Below are 20367 nucleotides of genomic sequence, written 5' to 3' on the forward strand. Positions count from 1 at the left end.
TATCATATCATATCATATGGTATCATGGCAAACACTGGTAAATGGTCCATCTTTGTATCTATCCCTAAAACATCTGTTGTGAGTGTGTCTTAGGGAGCTGTTGAGTGAGTGTTGACCAGCTGACCAAGTGACTCATTTTATGGGCACAGTGTGAATCCTTAGATCCAAGAAGATTGCTTCTGTCATCGCAACATCATTATTATAACATTCTTGTTTGTTTTGGTTTCACAAGAATAGCAAATCATTAAAGGAGGAAGTTAAAGGAAAAATCAGGTGAACTGTAATTTCTAGAAGTCTCGTTCTCTGGTTTCCAATGGTGGTGGGTGTTTAAAGATGTTAGCCTGAACCTGTGTCCTTAAGCCTATCTTACTGGACAGACATTATTTGAAAGGACTGTTTCCAAAACCTTTCCACTGGTAGAAAAGATCTGAGCAAATCTGTTTTACAGACAGGTGGAATAGGAATGAGATGGCAAATGCAGATGATACAGAGCTTTTGGACTTATTACCAGTCCCCGACACCTCCACCCCTTAACCTTTTTAGAAAATGCCCTTAATTCTTTGGGAATTTCTATAACTAACCGTAAACTGGTATTTGCTACACACATATGCAGCAGTGTGTTTGCAGGTTGTTTGTGAGTGTTAAAGCACACAGGGCAAGCTGAGAAGTAAAGGTTTTGTGTTGCATTTGATGATCAAACATATGCCCTCTTCGGCCTTCTCAGGGCACTGGCATTAAGGCTAGTAAATAATCTTGGGTTTCCTTGTGTCTCTCCAGCGTCCCATCTTGTAGCCCAGTATTACGTGAGGCACTTAATCAAAGCATAAAAGCAATTATAAAACGCCCCTGAAATTACATTCATATCTGTAATCAGAATTGCTAATATCTCCCCTCCCTCCACCATCCTGGTGTCATCTGATTTTCATTCCTTTGAGGTGACTAAGAGTCTAGTCATTAATGTAACACCCACCAACTTTATTGGAAGTTACCGTCAGAAAGATCTGTTTCCAAAAACTCTGTGAGCTGAATGCAATTACAGTGCTGGTTCTTCTTGGCCATTGCACAAGTCTGCACATACTCTTTGTACTAGAGTCTCTTTCTAAACTTAAGCACCAATGAGGTTGCTGTCTATTTTCTATGTCATGGGGAGGAAAGATTTGGTTTAAAGTTATTTGAGGTCTGGCACAGTGGCTCACGCCTGTAATCCCAGCACTTTGGGAGGCCGAGGCGGGTGGATCACAAGGTCAGGAGATCGAGACCATCCTGGTTAACACAGTGAAACCCCATCTCTACTAAAAATACAAAAAAATTAACCGGGCGTGGTGGCAGGTGCCTGTATTCTCAGCTACTTGGGAGGCTGAGGCAGGAGAATGGCGTGAACCCAGGAGGCAGAGGTTGCAGTGAGCCGAGATCATGCCACTGCACTCCATCCAGCCTGGGCGACAGAGTGAGACTCCATCTCAAAAAAAAAAAAAAGTTATTTGAAAGAGAAATGAAACTTCTAGAAGCTATCACTCTATTGCCTACATTTTTACCTTTCCAATAACATTGGGATGATTTGGTAGTAATGTAATAGTGATGATGATTATGGTCATGGTAATAGTAAAACTACCAGCTTACAGGAAATGCAGGCGATAGAGAAATGATGCAGACCCTATTATGAAGCCATAATTCAAATGGATAATTTGGGAACTTCTCTAAGACGAATGTTCTGCTTTCTTCAACAAACAAATGACCTGTAAAAGGGAGGAGGCAGAAGGGGGTTCTGTTACAGATGAAAACAGGCCTTATTTTAGGTCTAAAAGGAGTGGCCTGAGCCCAAGGAGGTAGCAGCAGAATGGTGGGAGAGCTGGCTTGCTGGGGCAGGGTGAGGGACGCTGTCCACACTGCACTTTTCACCTGCCTCAAGGGTCATACTATCAACCCAGCCATGGTGCCTGCGGGTCTGGGCTTCCTCCAGCCTGGTGCATCCTTTCCTCCTCCCCACCTTTTCAGCCTAGCTAACTCACACTGATAGCTGAGACTTCTCTCCTTCCTTGAGAGGCCCTTCTTTGACTACTACTTTCTTATCTAAGTGGGATGATGTATCTCCACTCTGCTCTCAGGGCCCACTGGCATGGCATTGGTGATTGTACATTGTAATTATATATGTATTTTAATTTTTTAAATTTTGGGGTAATTGTAGATTCACGTGCAGTTGTAAGGAATAATACAGACGGCTCCTGTGTACCCTTCACCCATTCTCTCCCAGCATTGACATTTTGCAAAATGACTGCAATAGCACAACCAGGAAATTGACATTGTTATAATGTACCCAACTTACACAGATTTCACCAGTTTTACATGCACTTGTGTGTGTGTGATTTCATTCTGTGCAGTCTTATCACATGCATCAATTCCTGTGATCACAATCAGCATTTCCACAGTCAAGATACACGGCATTTCCATCACAAGGCTTCCTCATGCCACCCTTTTGTCACTGTCTTCTTACTTACCTATTTCTCTCATGATTTTGCGAGTGTTTTGAAGCAGAAGCCTTATGTTTAATCTCTGTGTCTTGGTTCCAGCAAACTCAAACCAGCACCTGGCTCCTAGGGGTCCTGTAAATTCCTATGAAATCGATTCAAATTCTACCAGAGAAAGAGAGTAGATCCGGGATACTTTGTAGAAAAGTTTTGGCCAGGAGGGAGAGAAAAACATTCCAAGGCACAAAGCACTAAGAAGATACAACATTACAGGACTTTTTCCTCTATGGGACTATGAAAATCCTGGTGGTAACTATGGCTTTGTATTACCTTTAAAAACCACCTACTCATGCAAACCCCAGAGGGAACAGATTTCTGTGCAAGACCAGGCACAAACACCAGGCTTTTATTTTGTGGTCTCAGTGTGGTTCCTTTTGTGTCATCATTCCATGTATATGGGGAGTTTGAGGTTAATTTATTTGGAAATCGAGAATTCATCACACACTTGACCTGTATGAGGCTTCACCTGGTCAGGGGTCAGCCTCCGTTGTATCTGGGAAGGATTCAGGACATGGGGACATATCAGGCCTGCAGAGGAGAGTGACTTGAGCAAGCAATTTGGGTGCTCAGACAGAGTATCAGGATTTTTCTTCTCTAGACCCTCTCATGACAGACTTGGAAGGAAGAAGGCTTTCATTGGTTCCTTGCCCCGCTCCTGAATTTCATCCTACTAGTGGTAGAGTTTTCAGAAAGTATCTTAGAGTAGCAATGCTCTTCAAATTACCCCATATAATGGTCATGCTCTTATGAGACACATGAAGCCATGCATGCAACATCAGAATCTCTAGGTTTTGATGAATGAACAGATACCAACATGTGTCAGATGCGGTTGAATTTTCTCCAAGCCCAGGTCTTGAAAGGCCAGTGACCAGCTGATCTATTATTAAGATATCAGAGCTACATGTCTGTTCTTTACTTATTAAAAGCTTGTTGTATGTCAGGCTTTGTAATAGTCTGGGGGATAAAGGGATTAAAAAATCCTGTTATTCATCCATATATCATTCCATATATTCATCCATCCATCCATCATCTAGCCATCCATCCATTTTTAGGTGTACAGTCCAACAGCATTTTTTACTAGTTTCAGAGAACATGTAAAAGGACACTAAAACAAGGTGGCTTTTTGAGCTTCTCTGCAATATCTTCCAGACACTAACATGTTTTTGCCTCTTAGACACATGGACCCCTTAGAATATATGTGGAATAGCCTATTGGTAACAAGAACCAATGTTATTTGTTATTTTCTTTCTGCATTAAGTAGGAAACAAACGAACATCTGAACGGAAAGTTAAGCTGTTTTTGTGGAGATGACCTTCCACCCTCTACCATGTCACTAAACTTTCACAAGGCCTCATGGTGCTGGAACACATCTCACAGATAGGAGTTGGGTCCATGCTCTCATTCTCATTGGTCTCCCTGTTGTTTCATGAGAACCAACTCATTTGCATGGAATTTAATACTCTCTGCAGGGTCTAAAGGTGTGTTGAGCTAGCTGAGGGACCCATGTGCTCATCTGAAATAACAGATCGGAGTGCTGGGCTGTGTTCTGAAGTTCACTGGGATGGAGTAGTTAAGGCTGGAGTTACGCACATATATACTTACATAATGTATAGGGTTGAGGAATAACTCCTGCCAATATATTCAGGGATTGGGCTGTTCTCATTGTGTGAAGGGAGTCAATACTGACCCCTAGCCAGCAGTTAATTTTTTATGTTTGTGTTTTCCAGAAGTGAAACTCTCATGGGAGACACATCTCTCTCTTTCTAGGCTTATATTTATAAATAAATATATACTATATATTAATCTCACATCATATGTAATTATCTTTCACATATAATATATGTGTTTGTGTGTGTGTGTATATATATACACATATATATATATATATATATATACACATATATAGATATAAATATAAAATATTTTCCTCACTGGTATCTATTTAGATCTCTAGGGCCTTGTATCATGTATGGAATGCACTATGATTATTCAGTTTCACATGAGAAGGAATACAATTTCTCCTAAGCACTTCACTAAGCATTCACAAGGCCTCATGGTGCTGGAACACATCTCACAGATAGGAGTTGGGTCCATGTTCTCATTCTCATTGGTCTCCCTGTTGTTCCATGAGAACCAACTGGTTTGCATGGAACTGAATACTCTCTTCAAGGTCTAAAGGTGTATCCTGAACCAGTTGGGGGATCCATGTGCTCACCTGAAACAACAGAGTGTGCCAGGTGAGCTTCCAGTGAACACTCCCATCATTCTGCACCAGGGGCTCTCCTCCAGCTATTAGAAATAAAATCTCACCGGCTGGTCACCCAGTTTCTTCAAATACAGGGATATGTCATAACTGAAAGTGTCCCTATTGCAAAATTCTTGTCTATACAAATTTTAGACAGGGTTCTTAGGTTATGGAACCAGAAGTCAAGGAGGGAGAAGGCACACTGAACCAATGAAAGAGCAGGAGCAAAGATTCAGGAGAAAATAAAGCCAGTGCTTAAAATTGTGCCCCTGCTGCTGTCTCCTAGGCACAGAGAGCAGGGACACTGAGATGGGTAGCAGGAATTGCAGCAGAGCTGATCAGGGTAATGAGCTGTGTTCTGAAGTTCAGATGAAGTAGTTAAGGCTGAAGTTAAGTGCATATATCCTTACATAACATTAAGGCTCGAGGAATAATTCCCACCAACATACTCAGGGATTGGGCTGTTCTTATTGTGTGAAGGGAGTCAGTGCTGAGGCCTTGTCTTAATTAACCCTCTGATATTATCAGTCTCTCTAATGGATCTAACCTTTAAAGGATTTGGGGAGAATTGTTTCAACTGTGTAAGCTTCTCTTTTTTCATCTGGGCTATGTCAAGGAACACTGAACTTGCATCCTAAAAGTCTGCAATTCTATCCATATCTTTTGAAGCCATTTTTATGACCAAGAATGTTGGCAGTGCCTCACAGGCTGCCTAGCACATGGTAGACACCAAGTGATGCTTGTTGCTTGTGTGTGTGTGTGTGTGTGTGTGTGTGTGTGTCTGTGTGTGGTGGGAGGCCCCATCGTCCTTGCCGGAGTATCTTTCTTGTTGCAGAAATACTTAGTTTCAATTAAATCATCCACCAACATATATTTTACTGTTATAGCTACTCATTATTTTATAAAGTTCTTGGAGATCTCCACTGAGAAAGAAAAAGTCTTGCCCAAGCTCTGATGGGGTTGGTAGGGCCAGGGCAAGCTCTCTGCATTCCTGACCTCTGTCTATATTCTTCTGTGAGAGTGCATCGCCTGTTTTCCTTATCCTCAGTGGGACATAGGTTACTTATATAAGAAACAGGCTCCCCATGTCTCGGGGGGGCTCCATGACATGCGAGATCTGTGGAGTCAGGCACCTGCACTCAACAAATAGATGCAGCTACTGCTATTATTACTAATCATTGGTTCACTGAGAGAATTCATAGAAATGTGTGACTTGGCTTGTTTTGCTTCTGAGAAATGGAGGTTAATGCTTGTTCCTTGCAGGAAGTTCTGTGGCTTAGAAAGAGAAAGAAAATTATATACCAAAGTGACCTTTTTCTCCAACTGTTGTGCAGTGCACAAAACTAATTAGCCAGGTTCTAATTGGGTTGAAGTCTGAGAGTAATGGAAAAGTTGCCCGGTGAAGATGACATAGTCCACAGGGTTCCCTATTTATTCTCTCTCGGTGACTTCTGTATTAAATTTGTTCAGTTTGCTGGTCACAAGCTGGTATTTCAGATGGAATGACTTGGCAGCTAGCTCCTCTGGGCCTCTAAGCCCAGCTGTGGTCTCCAGTCAGCAACCAGGAAGTTGGGAGGGGCTCTAGGATGGCAGGGGAGACCATGGCTTTGAGTTCTTCTTTGATTCATGCACCCCATCTTTGCTTGATCAGGGAGATACAAAGCACAGATCCACTGTTGGGCAACCATGATGGGCCACCTGCCAAGGAGATGGGAGAACCAGGGCCTGGAAAGGAGGAGCATCTGCGAAGCACAGCCTGAACCATGAAGCCTCCCCAGGCATCAAGTCACCCAGGGGGCTGTGGACTGCGGGGGAGTGTTGTGGGGTGAGGAGCCTGGGGCTCAGACCAGCCTGCGGTAAGCATCCTCCTACACCAAGGAGCCAAAATGACTGCACAGTGCGAGGGCGGCGATGCAGGCTTGGAAAACAAAACCCGCCTCCTCTCTGTCTCCTCTGATGGGAAGCCAGGGCCAATGGAGGGGTCTGGTTCAGGGCCCAGAGCCACCAAAACCACTTGGCTCTTGAATGATCTGACTTGAGGGCTAACCTAAGCCTTGTGAAATCCCAAGAGAATAACCTCAGGTTCTTTAATTCTAGTGCAGACTTTAGATGCTGTTGGAAGAGAAGAAAAGGAAATAGTGACCCAAGTCAGTAATTGTACTTTCCAGTAGTCCCAAAGCATAGTTTATATGAGCATCCTATAAGAGGCCACTGGCATCTTAATAAAGGTAGTTAATAGTACACATTGCTAGTCAGTAACAGCCACACCTTGCACCCATTTGATAGAACCCCAAGGGTCAGAAGATGATCTACTGAATATGGCCCAGCAGGGTAACAGGAACCGAGGGGTCCTTGAAGACAGCGTCCAGCCAGGGCATCCAATCTGGAATTTCCCCTCACCTACAGATCTCTGAGTAAGATAAATATTTCATTTTGCAAGCTCTGTGTTTTGTTACTTGCAGCTAAGAGCATTCTAACTCACATAATTTCTTCAGAGACACTTCTGTAATATGCCTACTTCTGAATGAACTCATGCTTCCCACACTACCCCTTGAATACTTCTTTTACGGAGTTTACCATTGCCTATTTGTCTTACATCTGTCATACATCTATGAGCTCTTTGAAGACAGGGATAGTGTCTTATATTCCATCTATTCAAATCCCCAATTAAGTATATAAATGGATAAATACGTGTAGTCAATTACTTTGGAAATTAGATATTGTTGTGAGTATAACAGGGTGTGTTTCTTGGGTGGCCCGTAAGGTCAACAGGGAGATTTCCTTGTCCCAGAATTAAATGAGGAAGGTCGACTTCTGCTCCAGCCTTGAAAACTCTCGTGAGGATGGAAGCATGTTCATTATTTGTCAGTATAATTTAAACTCGATTAAAGTTCCACCTCCCCAAAAAAATGACACAAGGAAAACTTGATATCTAGTGCTGATGAATTATGTGTTCCTGGGTCTTTTCTCCCCCCATCTTCACTTCTTATCTGCACAAAAGAATGTTCTTTTTGTTTTTGACTGACTTTACCAGAAGTCACACTTGTATGGGTATAAAAAACTAATAAAAGTGTCTAAGTCAAGGAAACACCATGATTCTCTCTCCATGCGTTAATTACTGCCTGAGGAAGCCATCAACCTTAAATTGTACTCATCCTTTCTATGCAAAATCCATCGAATGTTCAATGCTTTGTAGACCTTAGCTTGCTCCATCAGCATTCCTGGGGTTAAAGGTCACAGTCTTCTGGCAATTTGGAGTAAAAAGACTCCTCAAAAAGAAAGCTTTTTGATTTATCTAAGGAAGCCATCCACAAGCCTTTTTTCCCCCTTACACTTCAATTAGAAGAAAGAGGCAGATTTTGAAAAAATCATCATGCATGCAGGTGATACCAAATATAATTGTCAAGAGTAAGGACAGCAGCATCATGGAGAAACCGTCAGGTGATCTCCATTGCTCTTTCCCTCCTCTCTCATCCCACCAGCCCCTAAGCTCTGTGGGTTACACCCTGAATGTATCCTCACCCATCTTAGTGCATGCACCACCTTTTTAAAAAACAACTTTTTTGAGCTATAATTCAGATACTATACAATCCTTTTGTCCTAAGTATAAAATTCAGTTTCTTAAAACATATTCAGAGTGTTGTGCAGCCACCACCACTATGGAAACTCAGAGCATTTCTATCACCCCCACCCAAATCGCCCTGCTGGTTAGCAGTTACTCCCATTTCACCTTCTTCCTGGCCATGGGCAACCACCAATCTGATTTGTGTCTCTAGAGATATGCCAATTCAGGACTTTTCCTATAAATGAAAACAGGGATAGTATCTTATCTTCCATCCATTCAAATCCCCAAGTAAGTATATAAATGGATAAATATCAATTCTTTTCTGTAAATGAATCATGCAATATGCAGTCCTTTGTGACTGGCCTCTTTCACTTAATATTATGTTTATCATGTTTTTGCGGTTCATTCATGTTGTAGCTTATAATGGAACTTTATTTCTTTTTGTGACCAAATAATATTCCATTGTATGGATACAGCATATTTTGTTGATCCATTTATCTGTGGATGGACAGTTGGGTTGTTTATACCTTTTGGCTATTTTGAATGATGCTGCTATGAAAATTCATGTATGAGCTTTTGTGTGGGGGTGTATTTCTATTCCTCTTGGGTATAGCTGGGAGCAGAATTGCTGGGTCACATGGTAACTTTATGTTTAATCATCTGAGAAATGGCTTGACTGTCTTCTGTCTTTTCCATCTTTGTCTGGAGACCGTGCAATAGCCTTTTGATTGTTCTCTTTGCCTCCAGTGTTGTCCTCTCCTTCTGGTCAAGTCTTCTCACCACAGCAGCAGGGAACAGAGTCTCTCACCCAACAGACACTTTCAGAGCTTATATAGTGAATAAGAAGAGCATGGTACTGTCTAGTAAGCTGGCATTAAAACATAAACTGTGTCATGTGACTGACTGTCTGTAATTGTTCATCACACCTGGAATAGAAGCTCAGCTTCTCACTAGGATCTACAAGGTCCAGAAGTCGTCTGCTTTGCACTCCATTCTGATTATTTTTCAGTCACTCTGGTCTTCTTTGGACATTGCCTCTTTCCTGCATTAAACCTTTGTGCATATCAATTATTTTCTTTCATCTGCCTAGATTGGAACACAGCATTTTTTAAAAAGCTGGTTAAATGAATGAGTGAACAAATTGAATTCAATATGCTCAGTGTATTAACCTGCTCAAGGCCACAGAACTGGTTAATAGCAGAGTCCCTACCAGATTCTTATATTAGAGGGTTTTGGGTTTGTTTTTAATCTTTGTTCTAGATGATTAGCTAATATATTACAGACCCTCTTCTATCTCTGTGTGGCAGTTTCTCAACCTTAGCACCGTTGACATTAAAGCTGGATGATTGTGGTGGGGGGGCCTGTTCTGTAAATTGTAGGGTGTTTAGCAGCATCTCTGGCCTCTACCCTGTGATTAGCAACCACTCTCCACATGTTGTGACAACCAAAAATGTGTTTAGACATTGCCAAATGTCCTTGGGGGACAAAATCACCCAGTTGAGAACCACTGCTCTACAGCTATTGTCTTGTTCAATGAATATTGGTGCTTAGAATAGCCCAGGGTATTTTCCAATCCCTGCTCGCCAGAGAGAGACTTTTGTCTGATAACCCTGTAATAAGTTGGGAAATGAGACCAGTATTAATTTAGAAGGAATTTTAACGATATTGTTAAAAATTCAAAAGGGTTTTATGATTAATTTGCAGTTAATGAGAGTATTTAGTCTATCAGATTCCCCGTTCTTCCAGAATTTTGGTCGATTAATATGAACTTGATGAGATTCCCAACCATCCTGGGTCAGGTAGATGGTAAGATCTTGCCCTGTAAGGAACCATTTCGTCGAAGTATTTTTCTGGGTTACTTGGGGCATCCTTTCCCAGGATCAGAACTTCACGGTAGTCAGAGCAACAGGAACGGAGAACAGAAAGAGCCCCTATGACAAATAGGGTCCATTTTCAAGTGTTTCATGTTCATTTCAACAACTTGTACCTCTCTCCATCCAGCCTTAGGACTCAACCTGAGAAGCAGAAATGAACACAATTGCACTGAGCCAGTGACTTTCCAGATCCAGGGTGCTCCCCTGCTCCTGCAGCGGTGTTCAAACTTCGGAAGTGGGGTTGGAGGCTCCATTAATAACTCCCGTGAAAATATGAGTGATCTTAGCTGGAGATGTCTAAGTACAAGATTCATCTTTTCCTCCTTGGCAGAATCAATAAATTTGCATGATGCATATTAAATGTTTAATTAAAACCCAACGCTAAAGCATATTCAGGAAGTTATAAAAGCCCTTTGGAGGGGGTCTGGAGTCCAGGGGTTCTTGTGAGTTTTCCAGGCATGCCTCCATCCATCAGACTCCAGTGTCCACCTTAGTTCTGTTTCTCTTTAGTGCCTGGGTTATTTTGCAGGTATGAGAGCTGCTTGACGTAACGATGCGACGGCATTCAGATGACTGTTAAGATTTTAAACACTGGAGCCTTTAAGGGCAGAATCACCAAACTCCCTCCTGTCAGGATCCATGCCGGTGCCCACCTCTTGTCCCCTCCCACAGTGGGAAGGGAGCTGGGTATTTAGCACAGATCCTGTGTTAGAGAAACACAAAGATCCTAAGAACAATTTGTAGCTTAACGGGGGAAAGTGCTTAGAGACAGAATTTTGCTTTTTTGGCTCTAATTGCCAGCCAGACTGCCTCGGGTCTTGGCGTTGGATGCACTCCCGAGCAGAGAAGCCAGGCTCAGATGACGTGCCCTAGGTGCCCTCACACTGCAGGATGAAACCTTATTTAGTAGCTGTATTAATTGAATCCTCACTTCGTGTGGATTGATGGAATTCATATCAGAATGGCCCCTCGCTGTTGGAGATGTCCCTCGATGACTTCCTCTGCCCTCCAAAACAGGAACTTTCATTGCTGAATGTTTTTTCTTTTTGCTTATTCATTCGTACGTTCGCTCCCGATTCCACTCACTCACCCATTCCACAAAAGTCTATTTAGAACCCACTATGGATTGTACACTGAATTTGTTCTAATAATTGATGGTTATAGAGCATCTACTAAATGCCCGCCACTGCTGTAAACAATTTAATTACATCACCTTCTTGAATCGCCATAAGGACCCCAGGAGGTGGGAAGGGTGGTCATTTCTCCCACTCTGCGTCAATCTCTCTGCTTGCTTTTCTGTGTGCTTATGTTTTCCCAGTCGTCCTAGTTTCTTTCACCTCTTATTTCCTTTTGCTTTCTCTTCCCTGTATCCTTAGCTGACCACATTTTAAAATGGTGGATGTTATATTTTGAATGCACATTCGGTTATCTTTTCTTCTTACATTTAAAATCCAGTCCCTGACTCTGGCTCCAGCATCTGTTTGAGCCACACCCATGTGGCTGTCTGTTCCAGCCTTGCTAGTTTTCTTCTTCTGCCTCTCATACTTGACCCCATCCCAGAGACTTTGCACATTCTCTCTACTTCCTCCCAGCATCATTTTCCTGAATCCTATTTGCACTCTTGACCCTGTTTTAGTACAGCCTTCTGAGCAAAGAACATTTTTTTTGTACTTTAAGATTTTTTTTTTTTTTTTTAGAAGAAGGAGGAGAAGAGGGAGGAAAAAAAGGGGAGGAACACCAGTAGCAGCGGCAACAAAGACTGCAAGATAAATAAAGCTTAAAATAATTGCTGTTTGGTTCTTTACAGAAAGCGTTTGCTGTCTCAGTGGATGTCTCCATCATGAGACTGTAAGCTCCGAACGTAGGGATATTTCTTGCTCACCATTTTTTCCCGTGTGCCTAGCGCAATGCCTAGCATATAGCAAGTACTGAATGACCTGGTCAGATGGCAGAATGAATGAATGAATGAATGAATGAATGAATGAATGAAGAGTTCTCATCTTCTCACCTTTAAATCTCCCAGTGCTTTGCCTCTGAAGTCTATCTGATGCTCACAGCCACCTCTTAGGTGATGGACTTCTTTCTCATCTCTTACCCAGGGAATACTGCCTCTCAACTCATGTCTGATCCATCCAATATCTCTCTCCAAATTTTCCCTCATCCGTGGCTTTCATGGTCAAAAAAAAAAAAAATCAAAAATATGTTGTAAAATGTAAACCTTATCGTGTCTCAGTCCAAACCCTCTAACGTGCACATAGGAAGGCTCACAGTCAGGTCCCACCAGCACCTCCACTGGCTCTGCACCCTTGCTCCCCTTCTGCAGCACATGGCTCCCAGCCCCTCGAATCCTTGCAGATCCCAGGGTGTGCCTTCTTTCTCTCACTTCTGTTCATCTTCATGTTGTTCCTCCTGCTTGTACTTCTGGTGAACTGCACGGCACAATGGCCTTCAGGATGCAGCTCCACTCTCACCTCCTCTGGGAATCTTTCTCTGACTCCTCAGGCCAACCTGGATATGCTTCCTTCCTGCCCTGACGGCTCCTTGACTTACGTCTATCCAAAAACTGACAGTCCTGGGCTGTAATTACTTCTTTAAGCATTTCTCTCTGCCTTTAGTTAGGGAGTTTATTGAGGACGGGACGATGCCTAAATTCATCTTGTGTTCTTTGCACCCTTGATGGTCTGTAGCCCACATTCAGCACTCAGAATTGCAGCTGACAAACTGATTGGACAAATGAATGTATGAATGATGACCAAAGTAGTTTCCCATTAACAAGGTGGGGAAGGAATCACAGGGTTTATTATTATTATTATTATTATTATTTTTTAATGTCTAAACTCATTTTGTCTTTGCAACATCAAAACACTGTTGGCAATTTCCTTTACAACTCATGGCTAATTTACAGAAGGGATTTTTATGAAAATGTTTTCCTTCATTCCCATGGATGGTGATGCTACCTGGGGGGCAGGTACTCAGGTAGCAGCCATGTGGGTGGCTTTCAGAGGTCCTCAGCCTTCCTTTTGACTAGCTCCAAAGCACCATGGGAGGCTACAGGGGTGGAAACCCTGCTGACTCAGATTTCAAAGTTTGACGCAAGTAAATTTCAAAGTTTTCAGTAAGGTGCGACCCTATTTGTATGGACAACCAGTAGGTAACCCTAAAAAATTTATCCAGTCCAGGGTGGTGCAAGCATTGTGAGCTTCTTATTCATTCGTTTTTCTGTTTTAATTTCTGGAACTATTATAATGATATTATTTGGCCCAGAAATAAAATCAATATTTAGCAGTCAGAGGCATCTCTGCTTGGATGCCTAGGTTGGAAATCAGTTGTGTGAGAAAGAATATTTTTCAGGCCAGTTTCTGAGAAGCTGGAGATACTGGTAAACACTCAATGAACACCTCTGATTGTGGGGGTAGTGTGCATCAAACAGATGCTACAAGTAGAGTGGTTGAGAGTTTCAGTGGTCTGAGTTAGATGAGGGTTCAAATTCAGCCTGCTAGAAACCAACTGTGTTATTTTGGGCAAATGAATATGCTCTCCCTAGACCTCAGCTTCTTTGTTGACAACTCAGTTGTTGCAAATGTTTAATGAGATAATACATGCAATATGCCCCGCACAGTGCCTGGCAAGTAATAAGTGCTCAGTTTCTATCAGCTACTGTGGAAAGCAGGCTGGTCTGAAGCAGGATCATTAACCTGAAGTGTCAGGACTGTTAGGGTCTTCAAGGGCCCCCAAATGAACTGATATCATGCACACACTCCTACTGCAAGGGTCTCATGAACTCCCTCAAACTCTCAAAGTCATCCATGACTCAAGAAAAATTTTCTCACTGATGTAAAAAGAAGGCAGGAGAAGAAATGCGTCTGGGCCATACAGGAGAGTTCTGTTAAGGTGACAGTGCCTGCTGTCACCTCCTTAACTCACAAGGCACCTGGTCAGCTAAGTTCTATGATCTGTTGGGAATGCAGGACTAGAGTTCCTGAGAAAGGTCCCAGCTGGAGAACATAGACTTGGGGCCACAAGAGAAGAGGGAGGGAGTGTGGGAATGGAGGTGCCATCAAAGGAGAGAATTCAGAGAAGATATTAAGGTCAGGAGGTTAGGAGATTCTAGTTTTCAACCTCTCTGCACAGTCAAAGACGCATCCTCAAAGGTCGGAAGTGACAGCAGGCACTGTAATGGACCAGACACTCTGAGTTTTCAGGAGACTAACCAACCCTTCACGCGGTCTTCTGACAGCTGTCATTCAAGGTGATTACAAATCCCTTCCTGCCACATCCACCCGGCTGTCTTCCTCACTGTGCCTTCCTTGGGGTCAGAGGCCATGCATCAAAGCGGGTTTTCCTGTAACCACAGTGCAGCTCCCCTCACCTTTTTGGGGCAGATCCAACTGCATTTTGAAGAAGTATTTTGCTAATGAAAGATGACCAGGATTCTAAAATTTGCCTTCTTTGGCATTTTTATACATCAAATTTTTTACTTATTTTTCTGATTATGACAGTACTTTTTGTTTATTACAGAAAACTTAGAAAGTACAAAAAAGGACAATAAAGATATGAGTGATGATAACTTAGATACAGTGGTTGCCCATAGTATTTTCCTTCAAGTTATTTATTGGAATGCATATACAAACACATTTACACAAGTATGCAAATGTATAATTAAAAATATTTTTAAGACAACTGGGATCAAATTGAGTGTACCATTTATATCCTACATCTATAAGGTGTTTTATATCCTACTTTCTACTTCAAAATATACCAATCCAAGAGTATTTAATTCTGAGTCATTAAATACTCTTTGAAAGCATGTCTTTATAGGCCACATAAAAGTTAATCACGTGATTATAAAACTAATGTATTTGATTATTTTGCTTATTTGGGGACATTAAGATCCTTTCCAATTTTTCAGTAATACACCAACTGCTTTGATCCATATCCGTATACACAATTGCTGAATATCTGATCACTTCCCTAAGACAAATATAAAAACTTTGGACTGCTAGGCAAAAAGGTATAAATATTTTAGGGATTTGATATGACAAAATTATTTTCTAGATAAGTTGCATCTGTTTTCTATACTGTTGCTAATGTAATGTGATGCACACTTTTTAAAAATCTACATCAATTTGAAAAACAGTATCTCTCCCTTAATAGCATCTTAACAGCCAGCCTTGGAATTTTTTCCCTTGACTTCTCTGAATTCTTGTTCAAACCCAGGGGCTTCTCCCAAAAGTCTCCCAAGTAGCAAACAAGGGACTAATTAGGCAACTCTCTATACATATCTACATTCGTTTATCTGTAAAGATAACCATATGCGTGTTCACCTAGTTACATAGTACATATGTCACATAAGGAACAACAAATCCCAAATCCAGTTCACTTCAAAAGAGAAGTTGAAGGGCATCTTTTGGGAGTCCTGTTTAAATCGTTAGTTGTATAAATTAACGACTCAGCCATAAGCTATGGTGCCTGGTCCACAGCCAAGAATAGTAGATCATGTTTAGCTGAATCTCTTTCATGAAGAGAAGATAGAAAGAAACCTACATTGACTGAGGATATACTAGATTCTGCTTTGGGCTCCATTGTGTACATCCTTTGTTTATGCCTCACAAGGTATTCTTTCCTCCAGTTCTATGCATAGAGAAGTCAATCTCAAGGCTAAGATTTGCCGGGGCCAGCAGCAAGGCCTCTAGGCCCTGCAATATGCACACAGAAGATTTGAACTCTGGTCAGCCTGCTCCAAGTCTCTGTGTTTTGTCACCAATTCCTCTAGAAGCTGTCCCTAAAGCAGATCTCTGCCCACAGCAGCCCCCCGGACAGCACATCCTTCTAGTGGCTTTTCCTTCTTGCTCTCTCAGAATCGCCTCTCCTTCCCTTCTACTTTCTTGGTTCAGCCCCCAGATAAACTACCTGAACATACATGGTTATTGCACACTTTCCTTTTGGAGTCTCCAAACTGAGACATTTACTTAGAATACCTGCAGCTGCAGAAGGACCCAGTGGGGCAAGGCCCTGCCCGAGTGCAGGCTTCCATTTCCTTCTGGGGTCTTCAGGTTCCCCAGGGGCAATTTCACTGTGTCCTGCTGGGCTAAACCTCTCCTGGGAGCTACACCTGACCCGGAGGTTTCACCTTCCTCACAGCTGGGCCTACGCATGACCACAAGTGAGTCACAAGTGAAGAATGGAGACATCTCCCCTGGCTGCTGGGCTCTGGGTCCTCAAACCACACTTATGTTTTTATATATGTGTTGGGATGATTCAGCGGAAACTTCTGGTCAAACGGATCACCATAGCAACTTTCAATAGACATCCAGCATGCAAATTAGAGAGTGGAAAGAGACACTTTCTCAATAGCCCCAAACCACCATCCTCTGAACGCTTCATGGATTGAACAGTAGATACTTTGAAGGTTTAAACACAGTCAGCTTAAATGCAGGGTCAACACCTGGCTGGGTCAGCTGGTACCTTCAGATGCTAAAACAAGCAGAGCAAACTGGCTTCTACACTGAATTGTGTGTCTAGCAGGGAAGACATCCCAGCAGAGTTGGGGACAGATGCACATGTGCCCTGTGTCATTCGTAAGCCTCAAGATCTTTGCCAAATTATGAGTTTGTAGAGTAATTTGGCCACAAACATGGCCAAATTACTCTACAAACTCTCCAATTTATATGCTTTCTTTCACAAAATTGAGCAACTTGCATTTTCTCCTTATATACCCCACGCTTGCGATTGCCTTGCTTTTGATTGCACAATTCCTAGCATGGAACGTCCCTGTTTCTCTCAGCTCTAGGGCTTTGCAAAGCTCCAGGCTTAGCAGGCTTTCCTTTTGGGGTCTCCAAACTTAAAATACCTGCAGCTAAACTTCTTTAAAATTTCTTTAGGCATATGGTGTGTCTGAAATAATGATTAGAAAGTGTTTCGCGTATGTTAGTCTCTCAATAAATGGTAGTTACTGCTAACATTTTCTTTGGAACTTCAGAACCCTATTTTTTTTTTCCTTTAGGCCTCAGTCTTTAATTGAATATCACTTGTATGAAAAATGTGATGTGGATACGTAGGGATACAAATGACAACATGGCGTCTGCTCTAAAGGAGCTCCAGGAGTGGCTGAGAAGGATGGAAAGGGGTTATGGGTCTTAGGCATGACTGGGGGTAACTTAGGTTCGAATTAGTCTTAATGGAGGCCTCTCACTTAAAAGAACAGTCTATGGAACACAGATTTCAACTTACAAAGCAAATGTAGTGTTGGGGAAGATGAAGTTATTTTAACATGTTATTCACTGTGTGGGATAGGAACACCTATGGCTACAAGCAACAATCAATCAATAGTGGCTTAGACAAATAAAGATTAGCGTCCTCTCTCTCTCTCTTGCACACACACACACACACACACACACACAAGGGTAAAGGTAGTTGGCTGCTTGTGTTAGTTCATTGGGTTAATAATATCAAAGCTAGCATCTAAGCAATTCTGATATCTTTTCCTTCTTGCTTATCACCTTACTTTCCCAGGGTGGCTGTTGAAGTTCCAGCCATCATGTCTGCATTCCAGGTAGTAGTAGAAAACAAAAGAGCAGAAATCGATGGTAGCATTGAAATATTTACATCTTATTGGTGAGAACTGAGTCACATGGCTGTTCCTGGCTATAGTAGAATCTAGAAAAGTAATTGTTTTTTGGTGGAAACCCTTTGCCTACATCATAAGCTCCCAAATGCATGGACGTGGGGTAGATCCTGTGGATGAATAGAGAACTAGGCACAAGCCATAGTTTCTGACCTAAGGAACTCCTAGTCTAGCTGAGGAGGCTGCATGCCAATCAAACAAGAGCACATGTATTGATTTAGAGCATGGCAAGTTTTAAATTGTCCTCATCTATCTTTCAAGTCCTTGGACAGCCTGATGAGAAACCAGGCTTGGGCTGTCAGCTTGACTTGACCAATGACCCCTAGGAGGAAGCACGTGTGTGACCCAAATTCAAGGGGTGGGAAAGGAGCTATACCAGGTCTTGCCTGCAGGCCTCCTCTTAGTCTAGCGCTCTACCCTTTTGCACAGCTCAGCTCTGATGCAGGGGTTCAAAGGAGGTGTGTTGGGTAGGGAGGGAAGCAAGGCCCTGATAGGGTGTTTATGACCCCAGCTTTGTCTCTCCCAGGAAAAGTATGAAGGTCATCCACGTTGTTCGGTACATGGGTCCAAGGAGAGAACTGAAGAACAACAAAGAGCGTCTACTCCATTTGGACCTCCAGGGCGCCCAAGGAGAAACAACTCCCTTGTGATTCTATTTGGTCGACACATTTTGTATCATTTGTGTCCTGGCAGGAAGGAGTCCCCCTGGGTAATATGAGGAAAGTTTTGATCACGAGAACGTTGACGAAGGGTAGCCCTAAGTATAAGAAAAACCTAAGGGAAAGTGCAATTTTCTGGGGTTACCATTTTCAGGGCACCTGTACCACCTCCTGCTGCTGGGGGAGGCAAGGAAAGGGAGGGAGTCCAAAATTCAGAGAGAAAATGGGAGGAGAGGAATTGAGAGAGAGCGAGAGAGAAAGAGAAAGAGAATGCTGCCTAAGTTGACAGCGCAGCCTGACCCTAGCTTCTCATCTCCTTCCAATGTCTCTTGTAGGCCTGACTCAAATGGAAACCTGGCCAGAGGACCTGGGGAGCCCACTGATCAAAAAGATCTGCCTCCCGGAGCACAGCACTGGTGGGGAAAGGCAGAGGATAGATCTGCAGAGAGGGACAAAGAAAAGACACTCAACACAAATTTGAGTGAGAGCAAAAAGGTTGTTAACACACCCTCAGTCCTTGATGCCGTTACAATGTCCCCACCAATGAATGTTCCAGAAGCTTCCATAGAGCACTTGAGAGTGGGACTTGTACTTAGGACAAAGCCCCTTTGCCATGGGGTGCTCTGCCTTTGAATGAGGCCTCTGATTGCCACTTTTCTCCCCATCCAGCCCAAGGTCTCCACTCAAGGACAAAAGATAAGAAAAGCACTATGTTGTATTTCTCCTCTAATATCCTTTAGATAGTTATGCTTTGGTGACAGACACTGAGGGCCAGTTTTGCAACTGTATGCTTTTCATCAATAAATGATATAATTGAAACTGTAAGAACATACATTTTGCTAAGGGACTTGGGTTGAATGAAGGGACATTTTTAATACATTTTTTAAAAAACTAGTTCCAATCTTTCATAGTAGTGCAGCAAGGAACCACATGATTTGCAGAGAGTCAGTAGATGTTTAAAACAAAATATCTACAAGAGGGAGGAGAAAGTATATATGTATATCAATTTTATATATATATATATATAAAATGTATGTTGGTACACATGTGTGTATTCATTTACTGACTTGCCCTAATTGAACAATCAACTCAGTCAAAACAGAGGGTACAGTAGCCACATACACAGGGTTAATTTGTTTCTTTCACAATACCGGCAAAAAGTGATGTCAGAAGCTTCTGTACCATTCTCCAGAGCTGCTCCTACCCTAAGGACTAGGTGTAGGTTTTTGCTGCTTGGGAAACGTGTTGTTAGGAGTGGTCAGGCGTACTCCTGGAGACAGTTCAGGCTCAACTTTTCAGAGGATCACTGTCAATTCTGACACCAAGTTTCAGGTTTGGCAAGAGGGACATAAAAATATTCTCAAGTTATAATGATAGAAAAAAAATCCAAGCTTCAAAGAGGATCAGCTTTGCCTCTCCCAACTTGCCTCTGCAGACATAAAAAGGGTGGGACTTTTTGGGAGAAGGCGTTGTCTCTAGCAGGAGACACGAGGCACCAGATAGCATCATTTGAGATATTAACACGGTGGCAGAGGGAGAGAGAGAGAAAGAGACCAGTTTATGAGGAGCTGTTTCCAGGGTGGGACACACCAGCGAATTGAGACGACGTTCTACAGGAGCAAGTTCGTTTATCTCACAAGCATTCATTGGGCACCTTCTATGTGTCCAACTCCGTGTGGCATACCATTTCCTGCCCTCCAAGAGGTGTCAAACAAGTGGACAGACAGACACCAGCAAATCAGAGATCCCAGTATGAGTCATCATGTAGCCTGTGATAGAGGGAAGCACAGGATGCCCCAGAGCCGGTGCCAGGTTGCATCACAGGCAGAAAGATCTGGGCTTCAGATATCAGTAAAGCATCTCTCCCTCCCCCTA

General features: G+C 42.6%; 1 annotated feature.

Moving 5' to 3' along the window:
* Positions 16542-16641: a silencer, noted in NCBI's record as "silent region_7737". NCBI's record gives its function as "represses an Ori minimal core promoter by ATAC-STARR-seq in GM12878 lymphoblastoid cells {active_cell/tissue: GM12878}" and the evidence as "EXISTENCE:reporter gene assay evidence [ECO:0000049][PMID:35858748]".

The sequence above is a fragment of the Homo sapiens genome, chromosome 16 (assembly GCF_000001405.40).
Source record: "Homo sapiens chromosome 16, GRCh38.p14 Primary Assembly".
Lineage (NCBI taxonomy): Eukaryota > Metazoa > Chordata > Mammalia > Primates > Hominidae > Homo > Homo sapiens.